Genomic DNA, 27682 nt, shown 5'->3' on the forward strand with positions numbered 1-27682 from the left:
CACAGGAAGGGGAACATCACACTCCGGGGACTGTTGTGGGGTGGGGGGAGGGATAGCATTAGGAGATATACCTAATGCTAAATGATGAGTTAATGGGTGCAGCAACACCAACATGGCACATGTATACATATGTAACAAACCTGCACATTGTGCACATGTACCCTAAAACTTAAAGTATAATAACAATAAAATAAAAATAAATAAATAAAAAATAAAAATAAAATAAAAATTCATCCATTCTAAAAGAAATGTTTATACTTTTGTATATTTTTCTCATTTTCTACATTGTAATATACTGTATTCCTTTTAAATTCAGGGAAAAAAGAAATACACATTATGTGGTATTAATAAAGCAAAACCTGGACCCTCTTTGGTCTTTCAGTGTCTTAAAATCATAAAGCCAGACCCATTTGTGATATATGGAGGCTGATAGTTGAAAAGAATGTACAAATCTCAACTGTATTTCATTTTGCTGTTCTATTAAAGCTATCTTATCATTATAATAGAAAAAAGAAAAACACAGTCTTTAAATTAAAGGAACAGAACACATACAAACACAACTGCTTTCACTCAAAAAACTGACAAGACACTGAAACTGGTCCCAGTGGTCAGGTGAACATTGACCATGTGGCATTAAAGAGCCAGTGCCCAGCAAGAGTGACTTTCTTCTTGAACCTGACAGCCGATCGCAGCTCTGCATCAGACAAAACCAGATCCTTCATTCTCTAAGCTCTTCTGAATTTTTCAGGATTTCACTTTCCTTGTAAAGGGCAGGTAATCATCGTGGTTGGAGGTTGTCAGGGGTCCCCTGCACCAAGCTAAGTAATGAGGACTGCGGGGTGAGAAAGACGGACTCTCCCTGAAGGGTCCCAGTGATCACAGCTGGGCTCCAGGCTGTGGGCTGCTGCCCCAGCAGGCTCAGGTGCAGTGTGTGGGCACCGTGGTGGGATGCTCGGACCACAGGAATCAGGAATAATTTTCCATAAAAGGTGGGACTTGAGCCTGGACTGCAGATGGGAGCAGAAAGGTGTCCCTGGCAGAGAAAGGAGAACAGGAAGCATCCAGGCAGTGGGCTGAGTTGTGTCCTCTGGACCAATAGTCAAGGATAAGGGAATGGCTTCTAGATGCTGTGGGGACCCACTTGGAACCCCAGGCACTATAAAGATTATTTTAATCTGAAGACATTTGAGACTCAACAGATACAGAAAGAAGCCTTCTCAGAGCTTTTCTTATCTGACCAGCAACTTCTCAGAGCTTTTCTTATCTGATGGAAAACAGCAACTTTCAAGAAATGAGGACTGCTATTAATTCCCTCCTCGGGGAGACTTCTATTCCTAGCGGGGAGACTAAAAGTAAGCCTACGATAAATCCCCACTCTGAGGGAGTTGTAGAGCCCTGAAAAAGACAAAAAGACCACTCATGTCCATATGGACAAACATTATCACAAACTTTCTTATCTCTCATATGGCCCCCTAAAAATCTGGCTTGTCGGCTGGGTGCGATGGCTCACACCTGTAATCCCAGCACTTTGGGAGGCCGAGGCGGGCGGATCACGAGGTCAAGAGATAGAGACCATCCTGGCCAACATGATAAAACCCTGTCTCTATTAAAAACACAAAAATTAGCTGGGTGTGGTGGCACGCACCTGTAATCCCAGCTATTTGGGAGGCTGAGGCAGGAGAATGGCTTGAACCTGGGAGGTGGAGGTTGCAGTGAGCAGCGATGGTGCCACTGCACTCCAGTCTGGCAACAGAGACTCTGTCTTAAAAAGAAAAACAACAACAACAACAAACTCATTTGTCTTTCCTGAAGAAATCTATTGCTCTTCCCATTGGAGCCTCTCTCCTCTCCCTTTCCCTGCTAAGTTGGTTCTACAGACCCATATTCAAACCACTCCTTTCAGTTGCTCAAAACTACGCAGTCCTGAGTGCGACTGCACAGTCCTGAGTGCACGCACGTGGCACACTCACACGAGTCACTCACAACTGCACAGTCCTGAGTGCACGCACGTGGCACAGTCACACGAGTCACTCGCAACTGCACAGTCCTGAGTGCACCCATGTGGCACACTTACACAACTCTTTTCTCCCGCTAATCTGGCTTTTGTCCATTTAACTTGGAGGCTCCCAGGTACCGAACCTGAGAAGGCAAAGCTTTTCCTCTCTACACTGCGTTTCATTCTCCAGGGCATTTGAGAGCAGTTCATGAAGAGTGGCTCTCACGCCCGAGCAAAGCAGTCACAGCACTGGCTTGTCGGTCTGAGCACAGCTGAGGATGATGTGGAGACAATCCCTGGGTTGGAAAAACTCCGTTTCTCCAATCCCAGGCTCTGCTGCCGCATCTCTGTGTCTCCTTCATCAGGCACTCTGCGTCCCAGGGAGGGAGGCACCCCACATCCGTGCTGGGGACATTGTGCAGGATGGCAGGGGCAAGGCACACCTCACAAAAGAGATGGATGCCACTGAAGGAGATGAAATTATTTCCAGAAATGTTTTTTTTTTTTAGAATCAGTGGCATGACATATAGTTGATCCTTGAACAGTGCAAGAGTTAGGGACACCCAGCTCCCTGCAGAGTCAAAAATCCATGTCTATCTCTGGACCCCCAAAGCTTAACTACTAACAGCCTACTGTGGACTGGAAGCCTTACTGATAACATAAACAGCCTATTCACACATATGTCATATGTATCATATACTGTATTCTCACAATAGGGTAACTAGAGAAAAGAAAATGATATTAAGAAAGTTATAAGGAAGAGAAGATGTATGTACCATCCATTAAGTGGAAATGGATCCTCATACAGGTCTTCATCCTTGTTGTCCAGGCAGGGGGTGCTGACGAGAGGGAGGAGGAAGGCTTTGTGTTGCTGTCTCGGGGTGGCAGAGGTGGGAGAAAATCTGCATATAATCGGACACGTGCAGTTCAAACCTGTGTTGTTCAAGGTTCAATGGCAATTAGTTTTTATTAGAAAAAATATATCAATGTGGAGAAGCCCTTGAAGGAATTTAAGCACAGAGGTGATTGATAGGTGTAACCGCCGGGTCCAGACAGGCCAGAACTTGAACTCAAGTTGTGCTGGTCAAGGGAGGTAAAAGAATCAAACCTTGATGACCAGAAGACACTGGAGTAAAAGGCAAGAGTGAAAAAAACCTTGATTTGTTACACGGTGAAAAGCAGCAGAAGAAAAATGGCACCCGAATCATCGATGTCACTACCGTTGGTTGGTCAGGTAGGCCATGAGAACCAACCAGAGATCAAACAGAGCAAAATCGAATATGCGATAATTTGTTCATTTCCATTCCACCATTCGCCCTCAGTGTTTATCCCATGGTAATTAAAACCAACTGTAGCTATTGAACAATGGAATTTGCTGGTCAAGCTCTTCAGAGCCCAATGTCATCAGCCTTGGGGTGGCCCCTGCAAGTCCTTGCTGTGTCCATTCTGTTCTCACTGAATGCAGAAGGTGCAGCCCAGCTCAGGGATGAGTTACAGCTGGCCTCAAAAGTGCCAATGCCACGGCCTAAGCATCTGGGACAGACACTGAGGAATGTTTGATGAGCCCTTAACTACCAAAGGTGGACAACTCTGCTATTGATATTAATATTTAGCACCCAAAAGGAGCATCCTGGTGCTGAAAGAGGGCATTAGGGAGCTTCCCCAGGGAGCCCCAAACAGCGTCTCTGCAGATCTGAGCGCTCCCTGTTCCGGCTGCAGGAGGCTGTGTTCAGCCTGCTGGGTGCTGGCCCTGCAGCTGGGGAGCGGCCCTCTCCACCACAGTGGTCTTCAGACTGGGGTCAGTGTACATGCAAAGACCATCTATGGGGCACATGGCATAAGTATTTTTAAAGTAATTACTTATCATTTCCAGCTCGTCAGCTCTTTCCCAAAAGTGATCTGTCTAGGAACTTCTCTGGCCAATCCCTTTCCCAGACCCCTTTACAATCTCCTGCCCCCTTCTCCACAGACAGGTGCATCTTGGACCTCGCACCCATCCCAAACCCCTCTCCAGGGTGTGTTCCTGGTGGTGGCGCCCTCCCTAGAGCACAGCACCAGAGAGAGCGCCCCTGTGAATATCAGCAGCCAATTGTACCCAGTGACTAAGGAAACCAGCCTTCAGCAAATGCGGCAGTTTCCTATTCTTTGCTTTCCACAAAATTGAAAGAGAGCCCCTATTCAAGTTGTCAGCTGAGAGAGCTTTAAAAACAATCTTGTATAACAAGCACAACGTGCTTTTTGGCATACAACTTGAAAGGAGCTCAAAAACCAGTGACATAGCAAATCTTTTTCCATTTCCATCTTTCATTCCCATTTATGTGAACAAGTTTGCTTTAGCTCATAAAAATGAAACTAGAGAAAATCTCAGTGCCGAGCCTGTTTTAGGAGCACCCCAAGGGTCTGTGAACCCGGGCAGGGGCCCATCCCCAGCATCGCTGATATTGAATTTCTGAGATTTTAATTTTATAAGAGTCAATTTTTTAAAAACTATTTAAATTTTAATCAATTGTATACTACTAATAATTATAAGGATAATTCAAAGAAACAACATTTAGAGTCTGTGGTTACAGAAAATTACATTTAAAAAATACATTCAATTTATATACAGATTTTTTACTGTAAGAATGTAAAGGTGATGAATAAAGACTTTTAAGCCAAAAAGTATACCTATCACACTGGCATAATATCCTAAAGGAGTAGTTAGAATGGAAATTTGAGCTTATAGAGAAAAAGGAGTCACAAAAAAAATTGCATGCTCAGAAGGAAAGCATTTTCATGTTTTTTTTTTTTTTAAAAGGATGAGAGTGGTGTGAAATCACTACGGTAATTGGATTCCAGCGGAAACACTTAAGAGTTGTGCGAGAGTTTTATTTTGGAATATCAATGTTTTGAAAGGCCAGAAGATATACCTTTTTCAACTAATAAACCTTACTTTTAGCTGAGTATTTTTTTTTATTTTAATAGTTTTGGGGGAACAGGCGGTGTTTGGTTCCATGGATAAGTTCTTCAGTGGTGATTTCTGCGATCTGGGTGCCCCTGTCTCCGGAGTAGTGTACACAGCAGCTGATGTGTAGTCCTTCATCCCTCACCCTCTCCCACCCTTCTGCCAAGTCCCCAGTAACAGGTCATGGCTGCGATCTCTCAGGAGATGCGCTAAGCACAGGCCCCAGGCCTGCCTGGTGGGGATTTGCTCAGAAGCTTTTCGTGGAGACCGTGGGTTCCTTTTAAACACCAGGTATTTTTTTTGTTTCTGGCAGTCTCCAGCCTAATACACTCATTTGAATCCTGGAAAATAGATCACTCTGTTTCAATTAGGCCAACTCCTCAGGAGTTCTAGAAAAATATTTTAAGCCAGTGACTCATTGAAGTCCCAGATGACAGTACCCTCTGGGGCAATTAGGCCAACGTACCAGGAGGCCGGCAAAGAGGCTTCCAGTGGCTCTGACACGTTGCCACTGTGTCTGCCCTCAGCCCCTAGAGCACGGGGAGGACATGGGGGAGCAGCCCAGCTCCCGGACAGTTCTGCGGCACAGTCTAGGGCTCTGCATTCTGGCCTCCTGCCACATCCAGGGCGCTGAATGCCATGGTGTGTGTCCTTCCACAGCGCATACACTGGAACACAAACGTCAGCATGACAGCATTAAGAAGTGACTAAGTCATGAGGGCCCCATCCTTATGAATGGGACTAGTGGACCTTACAAAAGGCCCTTCCACCTCCTGTCATGTGAGGACACAGCACTTAGCCCCTCTGGAGGACGCAGCAACAGGGTTCTGTCTTGGAAGCAGAAATGGGTCCTCACCAGACACCGAACCTACAGTGCCTCGATCTTGGACTTCCGGCCTCCAGAACTGTGAGAAAGAAATTTCTGTTATTTGTAAGTCACCTGGTCTAGGGTATTTTGTTACAGCAACCTGAACAAAGACAGTTGGCCTTCCTTTACCTGAGATCATTTTAAACACCATTATCCTCAACTCAATCGTTTCCTTAACTCAAGGAAGATACCTGATTTCATGGCAGGCACTGGAAATATATGCCTTTGGTTTTCCCTGTAATTGCAAAGAAAATTTATATGTAAAATAACTGAAACAGGACTCCTCATTTCAGCATTTAAAGCAAAAATCTTTAAAGTTAATAAAACTTCTACTCTACAATAAGAATTGTATAAATGCCAAAGTTTTGGATGTAACAGAAATGAGAGTGATACTGAGAAATTCTCTAGGCGGTCATGGAAATAAGAAGACAAAGAAAAAAATTTAAACCATGGTATGTGCACTTTTGTAAATGGTTTTGCTGCAAGTGCAGTGAGGAGTTTTGTGGTGATTTAATTGTGTCTACTTTTATAAAAATTTAAAGCATTCAAAAGAATCTGATATGCTAAACTCGTGAAAAGTTTAATTGATAAAGCTTGCAATCAAAACATAAAACATAAAGATAGTATCCAGGGAGAAAAGAAACACAGCTAAGTAAAAGCGGAGGAGGTGGGGAGAGGAAAAGAATCTAAAGGAAAGGGAGGTTTATTTTATTTTATTTTATTTTATTTATTTTGAGATGAGGACTCGATCTGGTACCCAGGCTGGAATGGAGCAGTGCAATCATAGCTCACTGCAGCCTCCAACTCATAGGCTAAAGTGATCATCCTGCTTCAGCTTCCCAAATAGCTGGGACTACAGGTGCATGCCACCATGCCCAGCTAATTAAAAAAATAATGTTTCGTGAAGATAAAGCCTTGCTGTGTTGCCCAGGCTGGTCTCCAACTCCTGGCCCCAAATGTTCCTCCTGCCTCAGCCTCCCAAAGTGCAGGGATTACAGGCATAAGCCACCACACACCTGGCTTGATGTTTAATGAGTCTAATTTTATTCATTTTGCTATATTCAAGTTTTAAAAGTTAAAAATATTTTACCTTTATTTAAAATGTTCTGCATAAATATATTCATGCACATAATTTTCAAACAATGAGTATATTTGACTGCAAAACTTCATATTTTGAGAAATCAAATGAGTTAAATTTGTAAGTTCTTTGCCTTTTAGTTGTGTGAATGGTTTATAATTGACTAGAGAAAAACAATTGAGAAGGAAAGTCTTTAACAGTGTTTAAGATAATGTAAATTCAAAAATCTGAGAGGAAAATTAAAAAAAAAAAATTTTTAAATCCCTCCCTAGGCCGGGCGTGGTGGCTCACACCTGTAATCCCAGCACTTTGGGAGGCTGAGGCAGGCGGATCATGAGGTCAGGAGATCGAGACCATCCTGGCTAACACGGTGAAACCCCATCTCTACTAAAAATACACACACACACACAAACAAATTAGCCAGGCGTGGTGGTGGGCGCCTGTAGTCCCAGCTACTCAGGAGGCTGAGGCAGGAGAATGGCATGAACCTGGGAGGTGGAGATTGCAGTGAGCTGACATCACGCCACTGCACTCCAGCCTGGGCAACAGAGTGAGACTCCGTCTCAAAATAAAAAAAAAAAAAATCAATCCCTCCCTAGACATTAGGAAAGAGTAAAGAAGGAAATTACTTTTAGTTCATCGTAGTGGCCCTTTATTTTTACTTATTCATTCAAGGAAAAAAACTCTAGAAAAATAGACTACACAAAACATAAGATTTAAAAATAAGACCAGATCTCGGATTTTGGAAGGTCTTATGTGCTCAGAATGAGTTAAAATTCAGACAAAAAGAGATAGAAGCTCTCACATAACAGTGAGGCTGCCTTTGCTGCACGACCGTCTGCCAGACACTAACGGGAATGTTTTCTGGGCTGACTCATTTGGTCTTTAGAGGGGAAGACTCTCTGAAGAGCATCCCTCTGAGGGGACTGTGATGGGCTCCCCCAGTTTGCAGCTGGAGAAACTGAGACATGAAAACCAGTTGATCTGTCCAGGTGCACTCAGGTGGCCATGACTCAGCCAATTCCTCGGACGAAACTACATCAGAATAAAGTTTAGCCAGTGGTTGAACGCTTGTCACTCATTAAGAAATAGAGAAAATTAGACAAGCCATCTTACTAATAAAGACAAAAGAATTTACTTGAATGTAACCATAATGTTAAATTAAATGTTTAAATGATAATCTTCATGAACAAGTGATAAACCATAGATTATATATAATGTATGTATATGTGTGTGTGTGTATATATATATATATATATAAAATGATTAAATGAGACCAATTAGACTAATTTTTAAAGTTTACATTGTATTCTTTTAACCAATAATCCTTAAATGTTGGGTACTAAATCTATTTATTTTGAAGCAAGTTGGCCCTGAAACTTTGTGCAAACTAATTGGAATCTAAGAAAAAAGGACATTCCAAAACAGAGACTTAGAAATTATTCTGCACTTTGACCAAATACCCTTCAAATAGAAAATCAAAAGTATTTGACAATTAAAACTTCCACTGGTAAAGTGTGCAAGAAGCGATCTTTTTAGAAGTTTGCTCTTTGTTACCTGAACAGGTTTGTAATTGCATCAAATGTATGCAAAAATTGACGACTGTAAGTTTCATTGTTACCCATAGTTCCTAAACCTTTCACCAAAACAGGTTGCTGAGCTGATACGCTAATAACTATTTCAGAAGTAGTTTTGTTTTGGTAAACAAAAGCCCAGCACAGGCTGGAATACAGTTGTTGGCCCTCATGCCCGGCTCACAAGGTAAAGTCAGCAACCCACATGTTATGAGGCCCAAACCAAGAGTTAATCTAAAAGCTTTAGAGCCCCGGAAATCCCGTGTCAGGAGTCTAAACGGCAGGCAGCGAGAGTTAAACTACTGGCCTCTGCCAGGACTGGCCAGGATGCCAAATGCTTAGCTGACTAATTCGGATTTCAGCAAAACCATATTCCACACGTGAGACTCTCAGTGGATCTGTCAAGCAGGAAACCCCACAGAGACTGATTTTGTGCCTGTGTTATTCACACAGTCGCCATGGAGCGAAAGACTGGGAAGCACGAGATGTTTTAATTTACATACAATTTAGAAAATTGCCTCTTAGATATTCCATAGCTATGTTTCTAAGCCATTTTTTTCATTCTAAAATGGAAATCCCCTTGGGGATAAGCAAAACTGGCTGAAAATTGCTTTTAAAATGTTAGAAAATGTAATGTTGTTATGAAATGCAACTGAAATGTGCTAATGTCTTTTTCAGTCTGTTCTAGTGTAACCCTAATAATATTGCAAAAATACGAGCCTGTAAAACATTCTTCACCTGAAATTTCTGTGAGGTTTCTGAAGTCTGATGATTCTGGTTATTGATTTGATTGTATTTGCTAATTTCCTTAATTCATAATTCTATAATTTTAAAAGTCAAGCAATACAGTGTGAGATAATAATTATAACTGGAATAATATATGTAAATTAGTAAAAAAAAAATACTTAACTAGTAAAGCCAGAGTTAACATTAAAGCTTTCTGTCACAGATAAATAACAGCCCACAGGCCCATAAAAATAAAGTTCAATGAGAGGTGTAGGCATTATATAGAGCATTATATATTTATCTGTATATGTTAGGTATCATATATTTATGTGTTTTATATCTCCTATTGTTTTGTCCATTAATTTTTTAATACAATCAAAGATATTAAATACTCAGTGGATTCACATTCTCTGGTATCTCACTGCGGGGAAATTAAAATTTATTCTCTTTTTGAACAAACGATCTGTGCAACTAGACTAACAAGACATATGATCTGGATTGACAAAATTTTTAAAAAGCATTCCAAATTAAAGCTTTCTGTTATAGATAAATAACAGCCCACAAACCCATAAAAATAAAGTTCAATGAGAGGTCTAGGCATTACATAGAGTATTATATATTTATCTATATACGTTAGGTATCATATATTTATGTGTTTTATATCTCTTATTGTTTTGTCCATTAATAATTTTTTAATACAATCAAATATATTAAATACTCAGTGCATTCACATTCTCTGGCATCTCACTGTGGGGAAATTAAAATTTATTCTCTTTTTGAACACAAATGATCTGTGTAAATAGACTAACAAGACATATGATCTGGATTGACAAAATCTTTTAAAAGCATTCCAAAATACTTAGATTTGAATTAAAGAAAAAGGAATTAATAGAGGCATCTCAAAAGAAAATATACTGACAGATTAAGTAGTCAAGGCAGCAGGATTACACTTTTTCTCTCTTTCCTCTTGAGACATTATTATTAAAAAGAAATACAGGAAAGCTTCTGGAAATGAAAGAGCAAATGCATATGAATCCATCTCTACTTAGACAACAATTGCAATAGAGTAATTATTTTGGAACTCTGGGGTCTATTGAAGGCTTGCATCTCACAGGGGATGTCTCGAATGATAAATTATGGTTACATTTGGTCAATTTTACCTCTTGGCGTAGTAACAGTTGCCTGCTCTCCACCCCCAGCCCTCTATCAGGCAGCTGGGCAGTTGTTCCTTTCGCAACCTGCAGGTAGCTTAATGGGCAAAGAGAATACCGTCCTCCAATGACAAGGGATCTGTGCTCTGATCACAGAGTTGCAGACAGAGAGGCTTGCTATCATTGTTGTCGCACCTCCCCTCATTGTTGCAAGGCCCTGTCCTTCCTGCTGAAGTGACTTCCAGGAGATTTAAAGAATCGGCACATTTTTTCCACTTTATTTTTCTTACCCCCTCCCCCAACTTGGGGGCCAGATGTTGAAGACCAGCATATTAAGAAGCAACTGCATATGCAGGGAAAATTACACAGCAACCATGCATGCCCAGGGAAAGGCACAGACTCAGAAAACACCTGCAAATACCTAAAGTCTACATCTCAGTCTGATCCTTGACACAGAGACAGCCTACAACAATTTTTTAAATGTTAGCAAATCCTGAGGAAGGAGAATCTGACCTTCAGAGCTACCACATTATTAGATTCCAATGTCCAGTTTCAACAAAAAATCATAAGACATACCAAAAAACAGGAAAATAAGGCTCATTCAAAGGAAAAAAATAAACCAAAAACTGTCCCTGAAAAAGACCTGATGGTAGATCTACTAGACAGACTTTAAAACAACAGTCTTAAAGATGCTTGAAGAACTAAAGGAAGACATGGAAGAGCTTCTGTGTGAACAAAATGAAAATATTAATAAAGAGATAGAAAATCCAAAAGAAGCCAAAAATAAAACCTGGACCTGAAAAGTACAATACGTTAAATTTTAAAAATCACTAAAGGGGTTCAAAGGCAGATTTAAGCAGGCAGAAAAAAGAATCCACATATTTAAGGATCGGAAAATGGAAATTAGTCATTCTGAGGAACAGAAAGAAAAAGGATTGAAGAAAAATTGAACAGAGTCTAAGGTACCTGTGGAACACCCTTAAGTGAATCAACATATGCATTATAGGAGTCACAGAATGGGGAAAGAGAGAAAGGGATAGAGAGAGAATATTTAAAGAAATAATGGCTGAAAATTTCCAAAATTTGACTTAAAAGACATGAATATTAGCATCCAAGAAATTCAACAAACTACAAGTATGATGAACTCAGAGACTCACACTAAGACACATTATAATCAAACTGTTGAACAACAAAGGCAAAGAGAATTTTGAAAGCAGCAAAAGAGAAGTGACTCATCACATACAGAGGGATCCTCAAAAAATATTAGCAGATTTCTCATCAAAAACTTTGGTGGCCAGAAGGCAGCGAGTTAATATATTCAAAGTGCTAAAAAATTAAATTAAAAACCCATCAACCAAGAATTCTATATTCAGCAAAACTGTACTTTAAAACTGAAGAAGAAATTAAGACATTCCCAGATAAACAAATGCAGGGGGAGTTTGTTATCATGAGACCTGACCTTCAAGAAATGTTAAAGGGAGTCCTGAAGATTGAAATGAAAGAACACTAGACAATAACTAAAAGCAACATCAAGGAATAAAGATCTCAGTGATGGTAATTATATGACAATTATAAAAATTAGCATAATTCCAACAATGACATGTAACTCCACTGTTTGTTTTCTACAAGAGATTACTGCATTAAAAAAAAAATTAGTTTATGTTTTTGGACACAAAATACATAAAGATGTGATTTTGTGAGTTCAACAACTGAAAGAGGTGGTAAAGGGGCTGCTGAAGAAGCAAAATTGTTGTATGCTATTAATGTCATGATGGTACAAATTCAAATCACAATGTTACAATTTTATAATGTTAAATTTAGTCTCTGTGTTAACCACAAAGAAAATTGCTAAATAATATACACATATAAATTTAAATGTTTTACTATAAAAATCAACTAAACACAAAAGAAAACAGCAATGCAGAAAATGAGAGACAAAACGCTATAATATAGAAAACAAATAGCAAAATGACAGAAGTAAGTCCCTCCATACCAATAATCACTTTAAATGTAAATGGATTAAACTCTCCAATCAAAAGGCAAATATTGGGAGAATGGATAAAAAAGACATTTAGACATGTGGCTAAATTTAATCATCCATCCTCAGTTCTCATCTTTCCTGACACTCGTGATCATTTCCTCCGTTTTGAATCCTCTTCTTACCTAGCCTTTGGTATCAATCCCTCAGAAAATCCTGTTGACTCTGCCTTCCAAATATACCCACACATGTGTTCTTTTTTCCACTTCCCTAGTGACCTACCTCTGGTCCAAGCAGCCACCACCTCTGGCGTGGAGGGTTGCAGGTCTCCCCGCTTCTGCCCTGCTCCCTCTCCATCTCTTCCTAACGCACAGCCAGGGCAATCCAGTGAGGGCAGAGGACGGCTCCCACTCAGACCCCAGGGGCTCTCCATCTTAGTCTGAGTAGCAGCCCCATTCCTACAGAGGCCAGGAGGTGCTACACCACCTGGCCTGGTGACCTCTGCGGCCTCTCCCCTGCTGTTCTCCCCCAACTTGCTCTGCAGGTCACGCTGGCCTCCCACAGTCTCCCACCGTCTGCACACAGCCCAGTGTGCTCCCGTCTCTGCCTGGAGTGTCCTGAGCTCAGGTGGCTGCAGGGCTCACTTCCTGGGCTTCCTCAGTCTTCATTCGTAAGGCCTTCCCTCAACACCTGTTTAAAATGACAGCTGCTCCACCCCCAGCTTCCCAGTCCCCCTTATCCTGCCGCACTGATTTCTGCCATGGCACTCATCTCCTTCTAAGGTTCCATATAATTTAACTAATGAGGCAGCCCTGGGAGTGCAGAGCTCCCACCGCTGCAGGGGAGCACGATGGACCCATGGCTCCACTGATGCACCTCGGGATGCATGAGGCAGCCCTGGGAGTGCAGAGCTCCCACCCCTGCAGGGCAGCACGATGGACCCATGGCTCCACTGATGCACCTCGGGATGCAACACCATGTTCACAACAAGGCCAAGCTCCCCGTGGTGCTCCCTGGACCGGGCTGGGACAGGTCCATCACAGGGACACACACCACTCCTCAGGGAGCAACTTTTCACCCAGGACGCCCTGTTGGCCTGGACAGACCTTTCTTGAAGCTGAGACTCTCCTACCCCTACCTTTTCTTGCCTTTTCTCCTTCTCACAGATGTTGGACCTGCAGCGTGGTCTGAAGTCTCTCTTTACTCCCTCTCCAAGAAATCTCCAGCATGTCCAACTCTACCTGGTTTCTACTCCTCAGTGAGTGTGAGCTGTACAATTGATTATTATTACTGTTATTGCTTTGTTCATGGTCTGTCTCACCCCACTAGAGCATGAACCCGCCAGGGCAGAGGGCTTTGGTTTTTTCCTGTGCTTTCCTGGTGCCTGGAGCAGGGCCTGGCTCATAGCAGAGATGCAGTAAATCTGTGCTGAATAAATGTCTTACGTATTGAATCAGATGATGCATTTTAAAAGCATGCCACCTAGTCTTGCACAAAAGAACCACGTGTTCAGTATTGACCATATTTACACTAAAAAAAAGTCAGTTTCCATTAAAGAAAGTTAAAGTATTTAAGTAAATAAAAACATAGACTGTGTTCTTGGGGTAGGAGCACACTTTAGCAGTATCAAGTATAGTCATATAAAATGTAAATGTCAGTATCCCCAAATTGTCTACAAATTAAATGCAATTCCAATCAAAATTCTAGCTGGATGTTGAGACATTCATAAATTCATGCTAAAATTTGCTTGGATGAATAAAGGTCCAGAAGTAGCCTAATTAACTGTGAAAAAACAGGGTACAGAGGCGAGACTTGACCTAGTAAATATAGACTGCAAGACACTAATAGTGATGGTAATAGTAATCTTTACAAGTATGGTACTGGTGCAAAAACAGACAATAGATCAATTAGCCAGAGTAGAAAGCTCAGAGAGAGACCACATATACACAGAAGCTCAGCATCACAAGTCAATGGGGGAAAGGATGAATTTTATATCGGTGGTTTCAGGAAAACTGGATTACTACATGAAGAAGATGAGGGCACATTCTTTGTAGCACTATGTGTAGCAGGGGAGTCCTGGAAGGCTAAAGGCCTGCAAGTAGAAATTTAAACTCTAAAGCTCAGAGAAGATAATGGAGGAGTATACTTCTGTGACTTGAGAATAGAGAAAGATGTTTAAACGAAAATATCTCCCTACAAAATAATGGATTTGACAATATCAAAATCTAGGGGTTTTATTCACTGAAAAACAAAATGGACAAAGTTAACACATGGCAGATAGGTTGGGAGGTGATATTTACAATTTTGAAAACCATCAAGGGACTGATATTAAGAAAAACAGGGAAAGTCTGTGAATCCAAAGAAAAGACAGAAAGAAATCAAACAGAAAAGTTGCATAGGGTGTGGACAGGTGAGTCTCAGAAGAGAAAACCCAATGGCTAACATGTATGTAAAGAGATGGTTAAAGTCATGTCAGATAAATGCAAATTAGAACATCAGTGAGACACCACTTCACACAAGTGTCAGACTGACAAATTAGGATGCTGGGTGGTACCAGGGACTAAGGCAGGCACAGGAGCACAGGATTCCATGAGCTGCAGGTGGGTGCAGGTGGCACAGCCATGGTGGAAGGCATCCTGGCGATGTTTATTCAGATTAAGAACAGGCAGCCAATGACTCAGAACTTCATTCCTGAGAACGTGTTCAACGCAGGCCCATGGATGCATGTGAGGACGCTCATGCAGCCTTACTCGTGGCCATGTGATGCTGGGGGAATGAACAGGCATGATGTATTAGTCTGTTCTCACACTGCTATGAAGAAATACCTGAGACTGGGTAATTTATAAAGGAAAGAAGCTTAAGTGACTCACAGTTACGCATAACTGGAGAGGACTCAGGAAACTTACAATCATGGCAGAAGACAAAGGAGAAGCAGGCACCTGAAGACAAGGTGGCAGGATGGAGCGAGTGCACGCAGGGGAGATGCCAGATGCTTCTGAAAACCATCGGATCTCGTGATAACTCACTCACTGTCACAGCATGAGGGAAAGCACTCCTGTGATCCAATCACCTCCACCTAGTCCCGCCCTCAACATGTGGGGATTATGGGGATTACAATTCAAGATGAGATTTTGGGTGGGGACACAACCAGACCATATCAGATGATGTGTGGGTGCGTGGAATGCTCTGGAATGTGTCACAGCCCCTGGCTATAAGCAACAGACTCGGGAGTGCAAAGTAACATGGAAAGATCTGAGCCCACGAGGATATTTGCCTCTTTGTGACGGGAAAGTGAGGGCAAAAAGGAGGCAAACAGATACATAGAGAGATGCATTAAAGACGAGATGTGCCTTGAACTGAGATTGTGACTAACTCAATCCTATGCACTTGAGGCTAAAAAAAAAGTATCTTAAATAGCTGAGAATCACCGGTAATCAATGGCATCACCTCCTATGATCAGGCTTTGTAAGTTGCCTTTGTGGGTCGAGGCTGTCTTCTTGTCCACCCCACGCAGGCCTGTTACCGGGGTTAACCCGAGTCTAGGTCCGGATAAAAGCCTATATATGGAAAACTTCATGGGATCTCCTTGGAATCCATTCTTAGCAACTCACAAGGTCACAAAGTACCATGGATGAGAAGTTTGGACACATGTCAATTTCCTGCCTAAGCCCAGGCTCAGGGAATAAGCTGCCTCTTTCTGATCCTCAAAACATAACAAGGACCAAATGCAGTGTACCAACACAGAGCACCAAGTGTCTCCACACAAGATCACAACCACATGAGACAGTGACAACTTCATACAACTCCAGGAGGGTCCATCTTCCCTCGAGAAGCCAGGACTGGACAGAGAAAGTACCCGGAGGCCCGCACAGCTGGCAAATAGTTGATGTATTTTCAGACAGCACAGTTTCTTAAGGACCAAGAATACGATGACATCACACTAAGAAGAGAAAATAAAATCTTGAAAAATGACTTAAAGTATAGGTCAAATATACATGCCATGCGGGTGCTCCAAGAGATGGACAAATTGATCTTATTGATCATATTTTTATACCTTTAATTACATTTGCTTATCTCAGCACCCACTCGCTCTAGAGCCCCTCAGGTGCCCTCAGCCAAGTGGGACTGGACTGACCGCCAACAGCCCTGGTTCCCTGTTGGCCTCAGACAGAGCTTGCCCAGAATGTTATTTTCTTGGCTGTGTTTTCAAATTGTTGTCATGTTTATCCTAAGGTCATAATTTTATTCTGCCTCATAATTTTCCACCTGAAGGGGCTGCCCAAAACCTAACTACATGCCTGGGCAACATAGCAAGACTCCATCTCTACAAAAAACTATAAATATGAGCCAGGTGTGGTTGTGTGCCTGTAGTCCTAGCTGCTCCAGAGGCTGAGGTGGGAGGATCACTTGAGCCCAGGAGTTCAAGGCCACAGTGAACTATAATCATGCTACTGCACTCCAGCCTGGGCCACAGGGCAAGACCTAGCCTCAGAAAAAACAAAATAAAAATAAAAGTGTTTTATATGTACAAAAATTCTTCTTAATCTTTTGATCCAAGGAAAGCATCCCCTAACCTTTTAAAATAAGTTCAAAACAGTATTTTTGCAAATCTGAGTGCAGTCCGATTTCTACTAGAGTTCCAAAGTCTTGGTGAACCACCCATTCTTCTTAATCAAGTTATCATATACATAATTACTAGAATAACAGCTCTCAAAAATTAAAATTCACTTAACAAGAAAATTATATTGAACACAATACATTCTTTCTCCAGTGACTCCAGAGCCATCCGAGGATATTTCAGTGCCTCGTCAAGATGTTAATTACGAAGCTGAACAATAGTTGCTGAGTGCACTGTAGATTTTAAATGAGTCCGGGGAACTTCTTGTGAAACCTGGCTGTCATCATCTCATCCTGGAAAACGAGTGGATGAAAGCAAGCGGGTCGGTTGTGGTGGCTCAAGCCTGTAATCCCAGAACTTTGGGAGGCCAAGACGGGAGGATCAACCTGAGGTCAGGAGTTCGAGACCAGCCTGGCCAACATGGTGAAACCCTGTCTCTACTAAAAATAAAAAAATTAGCCGGGAATGGTGGTGGGCACCTGTAATACCAGCTACTCAGGAGGCTGAGGCAGAAGAATTGCTTGAACTTGGGAGACAGAGGCTGCAGTGAGCCAAGATCGTGCTGCTGCACCCTGGCCTGGGCGACAGAGTGAGACTCCATCTCAAAAAAAAGAAATAAAGCGTCTGGGCTCCCAGATGTTGGCAGCTCCCTCCCAGCCCTGCCCTCCTCCCACAGCCCCCTTGCCTCTCTCTCAACTCTCAGCTTAAATGTCACCTCCCAAGAGAGGCCTTCCCAGGGGCTGAGTGTGGGGAGATGTCCCTTTTAGGCTTTCTCTCAAAGCCCTGCAGGGCCCTGTACTTATTTAGTGCAATGGAAATCCTCCACATGGGGTCTGTGTTGGGCGCGTGGCCTCCCATACCCGTGGCCACGTGGCCTCAAGCTCCCGCTCTCGTGTGGAACCTGACCCTCTTCCCTGCAACTTCACATCTCACTCCAGGAATAATTTTATGCCAAAAACTTAAAATATTTTTAAGAACCTACTTATTTGCATGTTTTCTAGTGACCTCATGAGAAGATCAATTTAGCAGCTTCTCACATTTTTCATCTTTGAGATTCACAGCCACATCACTGAGAAATATGTTAAGGAATATTTAACAGGTTATAAACTACAGCAATCCCACTCAAGACTAAATAGCACCAAGACAGTTTTCTATAGAAATCGGGAAACTCTCCAGCTCTCACTGAAAATAATGCTAAGACAATTCAGAGTCAAAAAGGCCTCATGGGGTTTTTTCTCCAGATAACTCAATTAACCCAAACTAAATCCTGAGACACTCACGCACCTCCATGTCTCTTGATTTTGTTTGTGGCTTGAGGGGTTGAGAGGCACTGCTTCTCACCGTGACCCAGACCACCGCTCCCTGGAGAACGGATCCAGACTTTCCCCACATCTTTTATAGTACCTCCATATCACACATGGGGGAGGTAGGTCCACAGGCCTGCATTTAACAAGCGGAAGCCAGCACACGTGCAGGTGTGGAGCAGAAGGTCCCACAGCAGCAGCCAGGGCTCCGATTCCCTGGAAGAGCCGCCCACTGCTTCTGACCAAACCTCACATTGTTGCTTCCATGTGGAGCTCCCTGGAAGCAGCCAAACCTATAAAGGATTGGTTACAACTGTAGATTTGATTATGTCTAACTTTAATGAGATTAAAAGGAATTCATTCTACATTTTATGATTTGTTTTCCGAGTTCATTGGTAATACATTGCATTAGTTTCCAAGGGCTGCCCTAACCAAATACACAAACTGGGTGGCTTAAGACAACAGAAGTGGATTGTCTTGCATTCTGGATGCTAGAACCCTAAAATCAATGTGTCTGCAGGGCTGTGCTCCCTCTGAAACCTGCAGGAGAACCCTTTCTTGTCCTTTCCAGCATCTGGTGTTGCTGGGAATCCCCAGGGACCCTTGGTGTATAGATGCGTCACTCCAGTCTCTGTGTCCACCGTCACGAGGCTTTCTCCCTGTGAGTCCGTATCTGTGTCTCTTCTAAGGATGCCAGTCATGTCATTGAGTTTTCATGACTGAAAACTCTTGGAACATTATTCTTTTTTCAAAAGGAAATAGGTCAAAATTGTAACTGGATATAAAATACATAATGGGGTGATGATATTGGAGATAGACTAGATTTTTGCTCTACCTTTCTTCAGCACATTTATGTTTGATATTTAAGTAGAACTGTCTTGCACTTCAATGTTTAATGATGGCCGGTGTCTGGTATTCTATCTGGCACATGGCAAACACTAAATAAATACTTATCAATTGTTGATTATTATTGATCAACCCCATATTGTTGGTACGCATACATTTTGCAATTATAAACATGAAATATACATAATGTTTTTCAAAGATACGTATGGTTTTATGCCTAAATTTTTATTGCATTAGGATGATCTCATTAGGATACCACATGGATGATAGTATGTTTCAAAAAAATTGTCTGTTAAAACAAATTATAATTAAAACCATTTTCTAAGTGTTGGCTATATTAACCAGTAAATAACAAAGACAAAATATTTTAAAAATCTAATTTAAAAATCATATGAGTTCTTTGGTTTTAAGGCATAGTAAAGCAATGATTCACATCTTTCCTTTAAATTGGTCATTCTTATTCACTGAAGTTAAAGGAAAACATCTTGGTAATATGTGCAAATACTTTCTTACGAATTATTTAAAGCAAGAGTTCCCAACCCCTGGGCCATAAACCAGTACCAGCCCGTGGCCTGTTAGGAACCGGGCCACACAGCAGGAGGTGAGTGGCCAGTGAGCAAAGCTTCATCTGTATTTACAGCCCCTCTCAATCGCTCACATTACTGCCTGGGCTCCGCCACCTGTCAGGTCAGTGGCAGCATTAGATTTCATCTGTATTTACAGCCCCTCTCAATCGCTCACATTACTGCCTGAGCTTCGCCACCTGTCAGGTCAGTGGCAGCATTAGATTCTCATAGGAACATGAACCCTGTTGTGAATTGTGTATAGGAGGGTTCTAGGTTGCCCACTCCTTATGAGAATTAAATGCCTGGTGATCTGTCACTGTCTCCCATCACCCCCAGATGGGACCGTCTAGTTGCAGGAAAACAAGCTCAGGGCTCACATTGATTCTACGTGATGATGAGTTGTATCATTATTTCATTATATTTTACAGTGTAATAATAATGGAAATAAAGTGCATATAAATGTAATGCACTTGAATCATCCTGAAACCACCCCTCTTCCACCACACCTGGTCAGTGGAAAAACTGTCATCCACAAAATTTGTCCCTGGTGCCAAAAAGGTTGGGGACCACTGCTTTCAAGGTAGCAAAGTTTTACCCTAGCACTTGAAAAATGGTATTCTGTGGTACAACAAAGAAAACGAGAGATACTCTAAGGGAAGTTCTGTGTCTTCTAAATGACCGATTAAAGAAACTAATGAAAAGTCACTTTTTGTGGCCATGAAACATGAATTTAAGAACTATTCTGAAGTTGGCATCCACATAGTCTAGAAAATTTTTCATCTCTTTCATTTCCCACATTCTTTACAAAGTTGTATAACAGCAAGGCCTTCGAGGGTCACTGAGGCACAGGGCACTACTAGACCTCTGATCCCTGTGCGGATGCTGCCTGCCACATGCTTCACTGGATGTGAGGTGAGGAAAGAATGAATATTTTTTTCATCAAACTGCTGAGCTTTTTAGCCCACTGTGATTTATAGTCACTAAAATAAAACAATTCCTTTATCATTCAAATACTACTGACATCTAAATTCAGACTAATACACTCTACCAAAATCATATCATCTGGCCTGTAACTTAAGACCTACAGACATCAGTTAATTTAGGAAATAATCTGATGTGCAAAGGAAAAATTCCATGGAGAGATGACATCCTCCTCTCTTCTCCCCAGTATGCAGGGCCATTCAGCTAATGGGGTAAGCATTTCAGGAAATAATGTGGCCCTGATATATGTCAGTGGCAATGGAATTAAAGAGGAAGAGACAATAAAAGGAAAAATTTCAAAAGAATTGCCGGTTGAAGATGGATAGAATGAACACAAAAGTTTTGAGCCCTGGAGAGGAGAGTTTCAGTACCGCGGACAGAGGTTTTTGCCGTTGCCTACTTTTCCTTAGGCCTCCATCTATGATAATTCATTCTACAAAAATAAAAGGAGTGAATTGAAACTAAAGTGTAGCTCATAAAGAGTAGTAGCTGTGCTACTTATTTCTACAGAGCATCAAACCTAATGCTGTTGATGTTGATACCTCTTCTGAAGATGACAAAAATAAGTAAGTCCAAAAAATACACCCTAGTTTTTAAAACATGAATGTGGCTGACAGATGATTAAAACACTTTCATCAAGATTCTAAAAAGCAGGTAAGATTAGGTTTTGCTTTTACAGCATTATATAAGCAAAATCCTGCTTCGTTCTCCACAACAGTGCCTTCCTAACCATGTACATCATATGCCAAGGTCTTCAAAGGGCCCATGCTTTCTTAGCATGCCCAGCATATTTAATTAAAGAATTATTGAACTATGGTCAGGTGTGGCGGCTTACACCTGTAATCCTAGCACTTTGGGAGGCCAAGGAGGGTGGATCACCTGATGTCAGGAATTCAAGACCAGCCTGGTCAACATGGTGAAACCCCGTCTCTACTAAAAATACAAAAAAAAAAAAAAATAGCTGGGTGTGGTGGCACACACCTGTGATCCCAGCTACTTGGGAGGCTGAGGCAAAAGAATCACTTGAACCCAGGAGGTGGAGGTTGTGGTGAGCCGAGATCACGCCACTGCACTCCAGCCTGGGTGACAGAGCAAGACTCCATCTCAAAAAAAAAAAAAAAAGAATTATTGAATGAAACTGAATTGGAAGATGTTAGTAACGCCTTCCCCAATTAATGGATCTTTGAAAAAACATATAAGTAGATACAGAATGACTCAGTTGTTACAGGACATTTTAAACAGTGCTTCTTATATGTGTTACTCCACAGGAAGTATTCAAAAATTAGAGTCAAACTCACTCTCAGGAGGTTGTTGTCAACTGGTCAGGTTGGAAACAAGCAAATGTTTACATTTCCTACACACTCATATGCTTCCCTCCTAAGACAGGGGAATTGTTCAAAAGAACAACAGGTAGTGCTCCACAGAGCACCACTGACTGCTCCACAGAGCACCAACCCAAATGCTTGGGTTGAAACATGGAAAAAATCACCAAGGCCTCTCACTCCGAGTCCACGCCCCAAACACAAACACACATTTCTGGAGGCTTTCTCAGATGATGCTGTGGTCACCTCAAACCATGATTCAAATAAGGCAGATTTTGAGTTTGTGCATAAATGAGATTAAATGTGTGTGCCTTTCAGAGTAAATGGTGAAAAGGAATAGAGAAAATATATATTTCTTTGTAATGTTCTCTAATACAAGTCAGAAATCAGACCTGAAGGCCAAAAAGTGACATTATTTCTTCCCCTGCTGCTCCCCCCTTAGCACCATGATTAAAGCTCTAAATTTGAAAATGTTACCAGGGGACAGTGATATTCCCCAGCCTCAAAACTCAAGACTCATCATGGTGGCTTAGTCTGGCAATTATGTGTATTATGCATAGATCACCACTGTAAGGTTAGATGGGGAACACAGATCCATATAACTCAACAAAGAAACACACACACGCATGTAAACACACACACACACACACCCTAAACCATAAAACAGTAGAGCAGAAACACACAGAGATATCTCCATGTAAATTTTAAAACCTGTCTGCTAGATACTATGACTCCTTTAATATCTGCTGAGATTCTACATGCAAGTCACCTTTTCCTCCAGTGTTTTATTTTAAACAGGTAAAAATCCACAGAAAGGTTGAAAGAATCGCACAAGGAGCACCCACATGATCTTCACTCTGGTTCCCCAGTTGTTACAATTGTGCATTATTTTTTATCTTTCTGTATGCAATTCAATACCACCTTTTTGGCCAAACCATCTTTTTTCTTTTTTTCTTTTTTTTTTTTGTTTGAGATGGAGTCTCGCTCTGTCACCCAGGCTGGAGTGCAGTGGTGCGATCTTGGCTCACTGCAACCTCTGCCTCCCGGGTTCAAGTGATTCTTCCGTTTCAGCCTCCCGAGTAGCTGGGATTACAGGCACACACCACCACACCCAGCTAGTTTTTTGTATTTTAGTAGAGATGGGTTTTCACCATGTTGCCCAAGCTGGTCTTGAACTCCTGAGCTCAGGCAATCCACCCACCTCGGCCTCCCAAAGTGATAACATTATAGGTGTGAGCCACTGCGCCCGGCCCGGCCAAACCTTTTGAAAGTAACTTGCAGATATATTGACATTTCATCTATCACTATTTCAGTGTGTTTCTCTTTAGAAATGGGATATTCTCCATGACAATAATATTGTTGTGCTCAAAAATATTAAAATTAATATAATGATATTATTAAATGTACAGTTTATATTGAAATTATCTCCAAAAATGTCTTTGTAGTTTTTTTAAAATCCAGGATCAAATCATAGATTGATCACGCTGCATTTCGTTGTGATGTCTCTGTAGTCCCTGATGTAGGACTTCCTTCCTCCCTTTTATCTCTGAAGAGTCCAGGCTAATTGCATTGTAAATTTTCCACAACCTGAATTTTTTCTGTCTCCTCATGTTAGAATCAGATTAAAGCCTTTTGACAAGAAAGCTGCATCGCTGTTGCCAAGCAGTCTTCTTTGCAGCACGTTAGCTGGCAGGTCCATCCCTCATGAAGCTGTGTTTCATCAACTGATTAAGGTGGTGTCTGCCAGACCTTTCCATTGCAAAGGTCCCTTTCTATTTCTCAGGAATAAGTGATTTGGGATGTGATGCTTTCGGGCTGCACAGTCACCCCTTCCCCAGTTTTGTCGTCCATTCAGAGACCGTTGCCTGTGCTTGTTATTAAAGTGGAGGTTGAAAACAGTGATTTTATAATTCCGTCGTGCCTTTGTCACAATAAATCCATCAATTATTTTTTAGTCGAGATGTTATAATCCAATGCCATCATTATTCTTCCGAGTATGCCGTTTTTAAAAATTTGGTCATAGGAGCCTCTTTGAACCAACGACTGTGTCCTCTCTACGTGTTCCCGCTGATAACTGGACATGCCCTTATTTCCTGGACCAACAAAATACCCCAGGCTCATCTTGTATGTCGCCTGCTCCAGACCTGGAGCCAGCTACTGCTCCAAGGATGCTCCCTGGCTCCCTTCATCGGGGAGTGTGGCTTACACACCAAGCTCAGGATGCATGTTTTCTTATGACTATGGGGGTGTCAGCCTTTGAAACCCTTTCAGTGGACAGAGCTGGGAATTTCTGGGGTTTAGCACATGGACACGCCACTCAGAAGCCCACAACATCATTTGAAGGTGCCTTCTGAGGAGTCTTCATGCCAACCTTAGCTTTCGCACCCCATTGCTACTCATTCTTCTTCCCTATAAGAGGGGTTTCTGTTCTCTTCCGAGGAATTCCATCTATGTGTTGGTTTTTTGTTTGTTTATTTTGTTTTGTTTTTACAAGGTAAGCAAATATATAAATATTTATTTTTACTTGCCCTCACTTCTTACATGAAAGGTAGCATTACACATAAATATATCCACATGTATACAGTTGTACCTCAGGGTCTGTTGGGGATTGGTTCCAAGACATGTCCCTCTGCAACCCCATATACCCATATCTGCAACTACTCAAGTCCCAAGCCCCACAGTCGCTCCTGTAGGACCTGTGAATGCAGAAAGTCAGCCCTATAGGTGGGTTTTGCATCCCGCAAGTACCGTGTTTTCCATCTGCATTGATAAGTGGACTCACACAGTTCAAATGTATGCTGTTTAAGGTCAACTGTGTGTAGATAGGGCACAGTATGAGTATACTATACTTCATTTATAGTCTTTTGGTAAAAATCTTTAAAGTAAATCCTGGAAATTACCTGAATTTCATGGAGATTGTGCTCATTCTTTCTAGGGCTCTGCAGTGCCCCATGCATAGATATCCTGTAGTTTATTCAACTGGTCTCCTATGGGTAGCACTTAGGTTGTTTTCAATAACTGGCTGTATGAATAATGCTGCAAGGAATAATCTTGTATTTACTGTATTTATGAAGGTAGGTCTTCAGGGTAAATTACTAGAAAGGGGAGCTCTGGGTTAAAGGGTAAATGCATCTATAATTTTCCTATAAGGCCAATTTTCCTCCTCAAGAGTTTTTCCACTTTTCTACCCCAAGGGCACTATATGAGAGTGTGTGTTTTGTCAACAAAGCCTGGAATCAAGCTTTGGAACTCCTGCAAATCTGAGGTGAAGGGAAGTAGCTGGAGCAGTTTTCAGTGCATTTTTCTGTCCATGACTGTTTAAGGTGCTTGCCATGGGCTATCTGTATGTATCTTTGTCCTTTTATCCAGGGGACATGTACATATAGTTGGACAAAGCCCCTTCTTCAACTTTTCCCTTAAGCTCTGAGCCCACTACTAGATGTCTTCATATGCTGTTACCTGTGCAGGTAAAACTGCCCCACCCACCGACCAGCCTCCCATGTCTGTCCAACTCCTAACCATCCACAGAACCCCACTTGAATGCCCTTTTCTCATTAAAGGTTTCCAGATTTCCTTCCTCTATCTCAATCTCAGATTAAGTGCCTCTCACCTGGGTCTCAAATTATCTGATTCAATCTTGGTTAAAATTATGTTTAGATGAGTGGGCTGTCTCACTGGGATTTAATGAGAAGCCTTGTGTGAAGGTAGTTGTCTTGGGAATATAAAGGCTTTGGTGGGTGGAAAAAATAGAAGAATAGGTTAGAAAACATTTACATTCCTGATACCATGCAATTTAAAGCAAATGTTCTATTCTGTTACCACAAAGTTGAGTTACTGTGCAGATCTTTCCACTGTAAAGAACAAAGAGCTTTCTTATAATATTGAAAGGTTTATTCCCATAATTCCAATAAAAGCTGACTTGTAATTTTGATTTATATATATATGAATATAACACACATTTTTCCATACTTATTATAGAGAATTGTGCTCATTACATTTTAAACTGCATTTGTTATAAGACAGTAAATTGCCTCCTTAACAAAAAGTAATTAACCCACTTATAATGACCTCAATTATTTTGTTCAATTATAATTAACCAATTACTACGTTCACACACACACTAGTTTAGGAACATTATGTAAAAGCACTCCTCCTTGCCTAAGTTCGCTGCAAGTAAAAATTAACAAGTATCTCTCACAGATGAATTTTTAAACATAGCACAAAATAGCATTTTATCACAGGGAGCCAAGGGCAGGGACAAGCAGGTGTCTTGGAATGATGGGTCCAGGGCTATAGGGATTTGGATATTGAATTAGGTTACCATATTTTGTATCACACGCTAGGCACAGAGTGAGCACATAGGAATTATAAGTATTAATTAGGATAAAATTGTATAAATGTAAAACACATCTAGCAAATTTGAAGTGTTATTTCGAATTGCTTAGTGGCTTTATTTTTAAAATATAGAGGTGATCGGGTAACACCGAGACAAGGATTTCTCTTTCTTTCCAGCAGGCGCACCCCAGGAGTGACAAATCAGCCTTCAATTCCCTCTGGGGAGGGGCCTGGTTGTCCTCTTTGGGTGGCTTAGCAGCTCAGGCCCTGTGGGTGCGCTTCACATGCGTGGGGCTGTAGGATGGAGGGGTGGAGAGGCAGGCAGGCAGAAACACAGGAGGCCTCACTATGTCTTCTTCCAGAAATCCCGGCTTCTCCTGTAAACGCTGCAGTCAGTCTCCATCCTTAGCCTGGCACGGGTCTGCCCTGTCCATGTGCATCCTCCGTGTGGGTGCGGTGGGCCATCCCTCCTCCCACCGTAACCACCTACGCTCCCCTGGGTTTCCTCCCCCTCACTTATTCCCTTTCACTATTGCTGTGCCCCAGATTTCCACTCGGAGCCCTCATCCCTTCATAATCTGTAGCCTCTTCCAAGACAAACTTCCCTTCACTTTAAAAACCATGTTTGCTGAGGATGCCCAGTAGTAAGGCCCTGACCCTTCTGTGACCTCCCTCCTAAGGCCGCCTACTTGCCCTCTCCACCTGTCTATTCACAGGCATACTGAAGTTAACGTTGTTGTGTTGGATTCCCCACTCAGACACGCTCTTCTCTCCTTCTTCCCCTTCTCAGTTAACGGCACACTCAGATGTTCAGGTTCAACACTGGGCACCATCCTGAATCCCTCTCCCTCAGCCTCCCATCAAATGCGTTGGCAAGTCTGACAGCCCCAAGCCCAGCACGCACCCAGATCCTGGCCCTCCACCTCTGTCACCATGGACGCTGCTCGCGCCACCACCATCCCTCCTGGAGCTGGCCTCCTGCTCCTCCCCCCTGCCCTGTCAGTCTTGTCCTTGCAGAACAGCTGCAGTGGATTTTAAAGAAAATCTGACTCTAGCAATTCCATGCTTGACATTGGTAAGGGCTTTACGGGCTGGATATGTCCCTGCAAACTTCCTGCATTGAAGTCCCGACTCCCAGCGCCTCAGAATGTGCCTGTGTCTGAAGACAAGGCCTTCTAAGAGGTAAATCAGCTAAGATGAGGCCACAAGGGGAACCCTAAGCCAATCTGACTGGTATCCTCATGAAAAGAGATTAGGGCACAGGGAGACACCCTGGCTTTGCTTGCGCAGAGAGACAACCAGGTGAGGACGCAGCAAGAGGGTGCCCCGGCAAGCCAAAGAGAGGTGGGGTGGGAACCCACCCTGTGGACACCTTGACTTTTGATTTCCAGCCTC

The 27682-nt window shown here is 42.1% G+C and overlaps 1 protein-coding gene and 1 long non-coding RNA gene across 5 annotated transcripts in view; both read right to left on the bottom strand.

Annotated features, from left to right (window-relative positions):
- The window catches only part of RPS6KA2 (ribosomal protein S6 kinase A2), a 453410-nt gene that overhangs the window by 385455 nt on the left and 40273 nt on the right, over nucleotides 1-27682 (bottom strand). The gene's annotated exons all lie outside the window — the stretch shown is intronic.
- LOC124901459 (uncharacterized) lies at nucleotides 4844-6563 on the bottom strand. Its single transcript, XR_007059865.1, has 2 exons — nucleotides 5938-6563; nucleotides 4844-5845 (listed from the first exon to the last, which is right to left on the bottom strand). It is a non-coding gene; the product is annotated as an uncharacterized LOC124901459 (long non-coding RNA).

This window comes from Homo sapiens, chromosome 6, assembly GCF_000001405.40.
Source record: "Homo sapiens chromosome 6, GRCh38.p14 Primary Assembly".
NCBI lineage: Eukaryota > Metazoa > Chordata > Mammalia > Primates > Hominidae > Homo > Homo sapiens.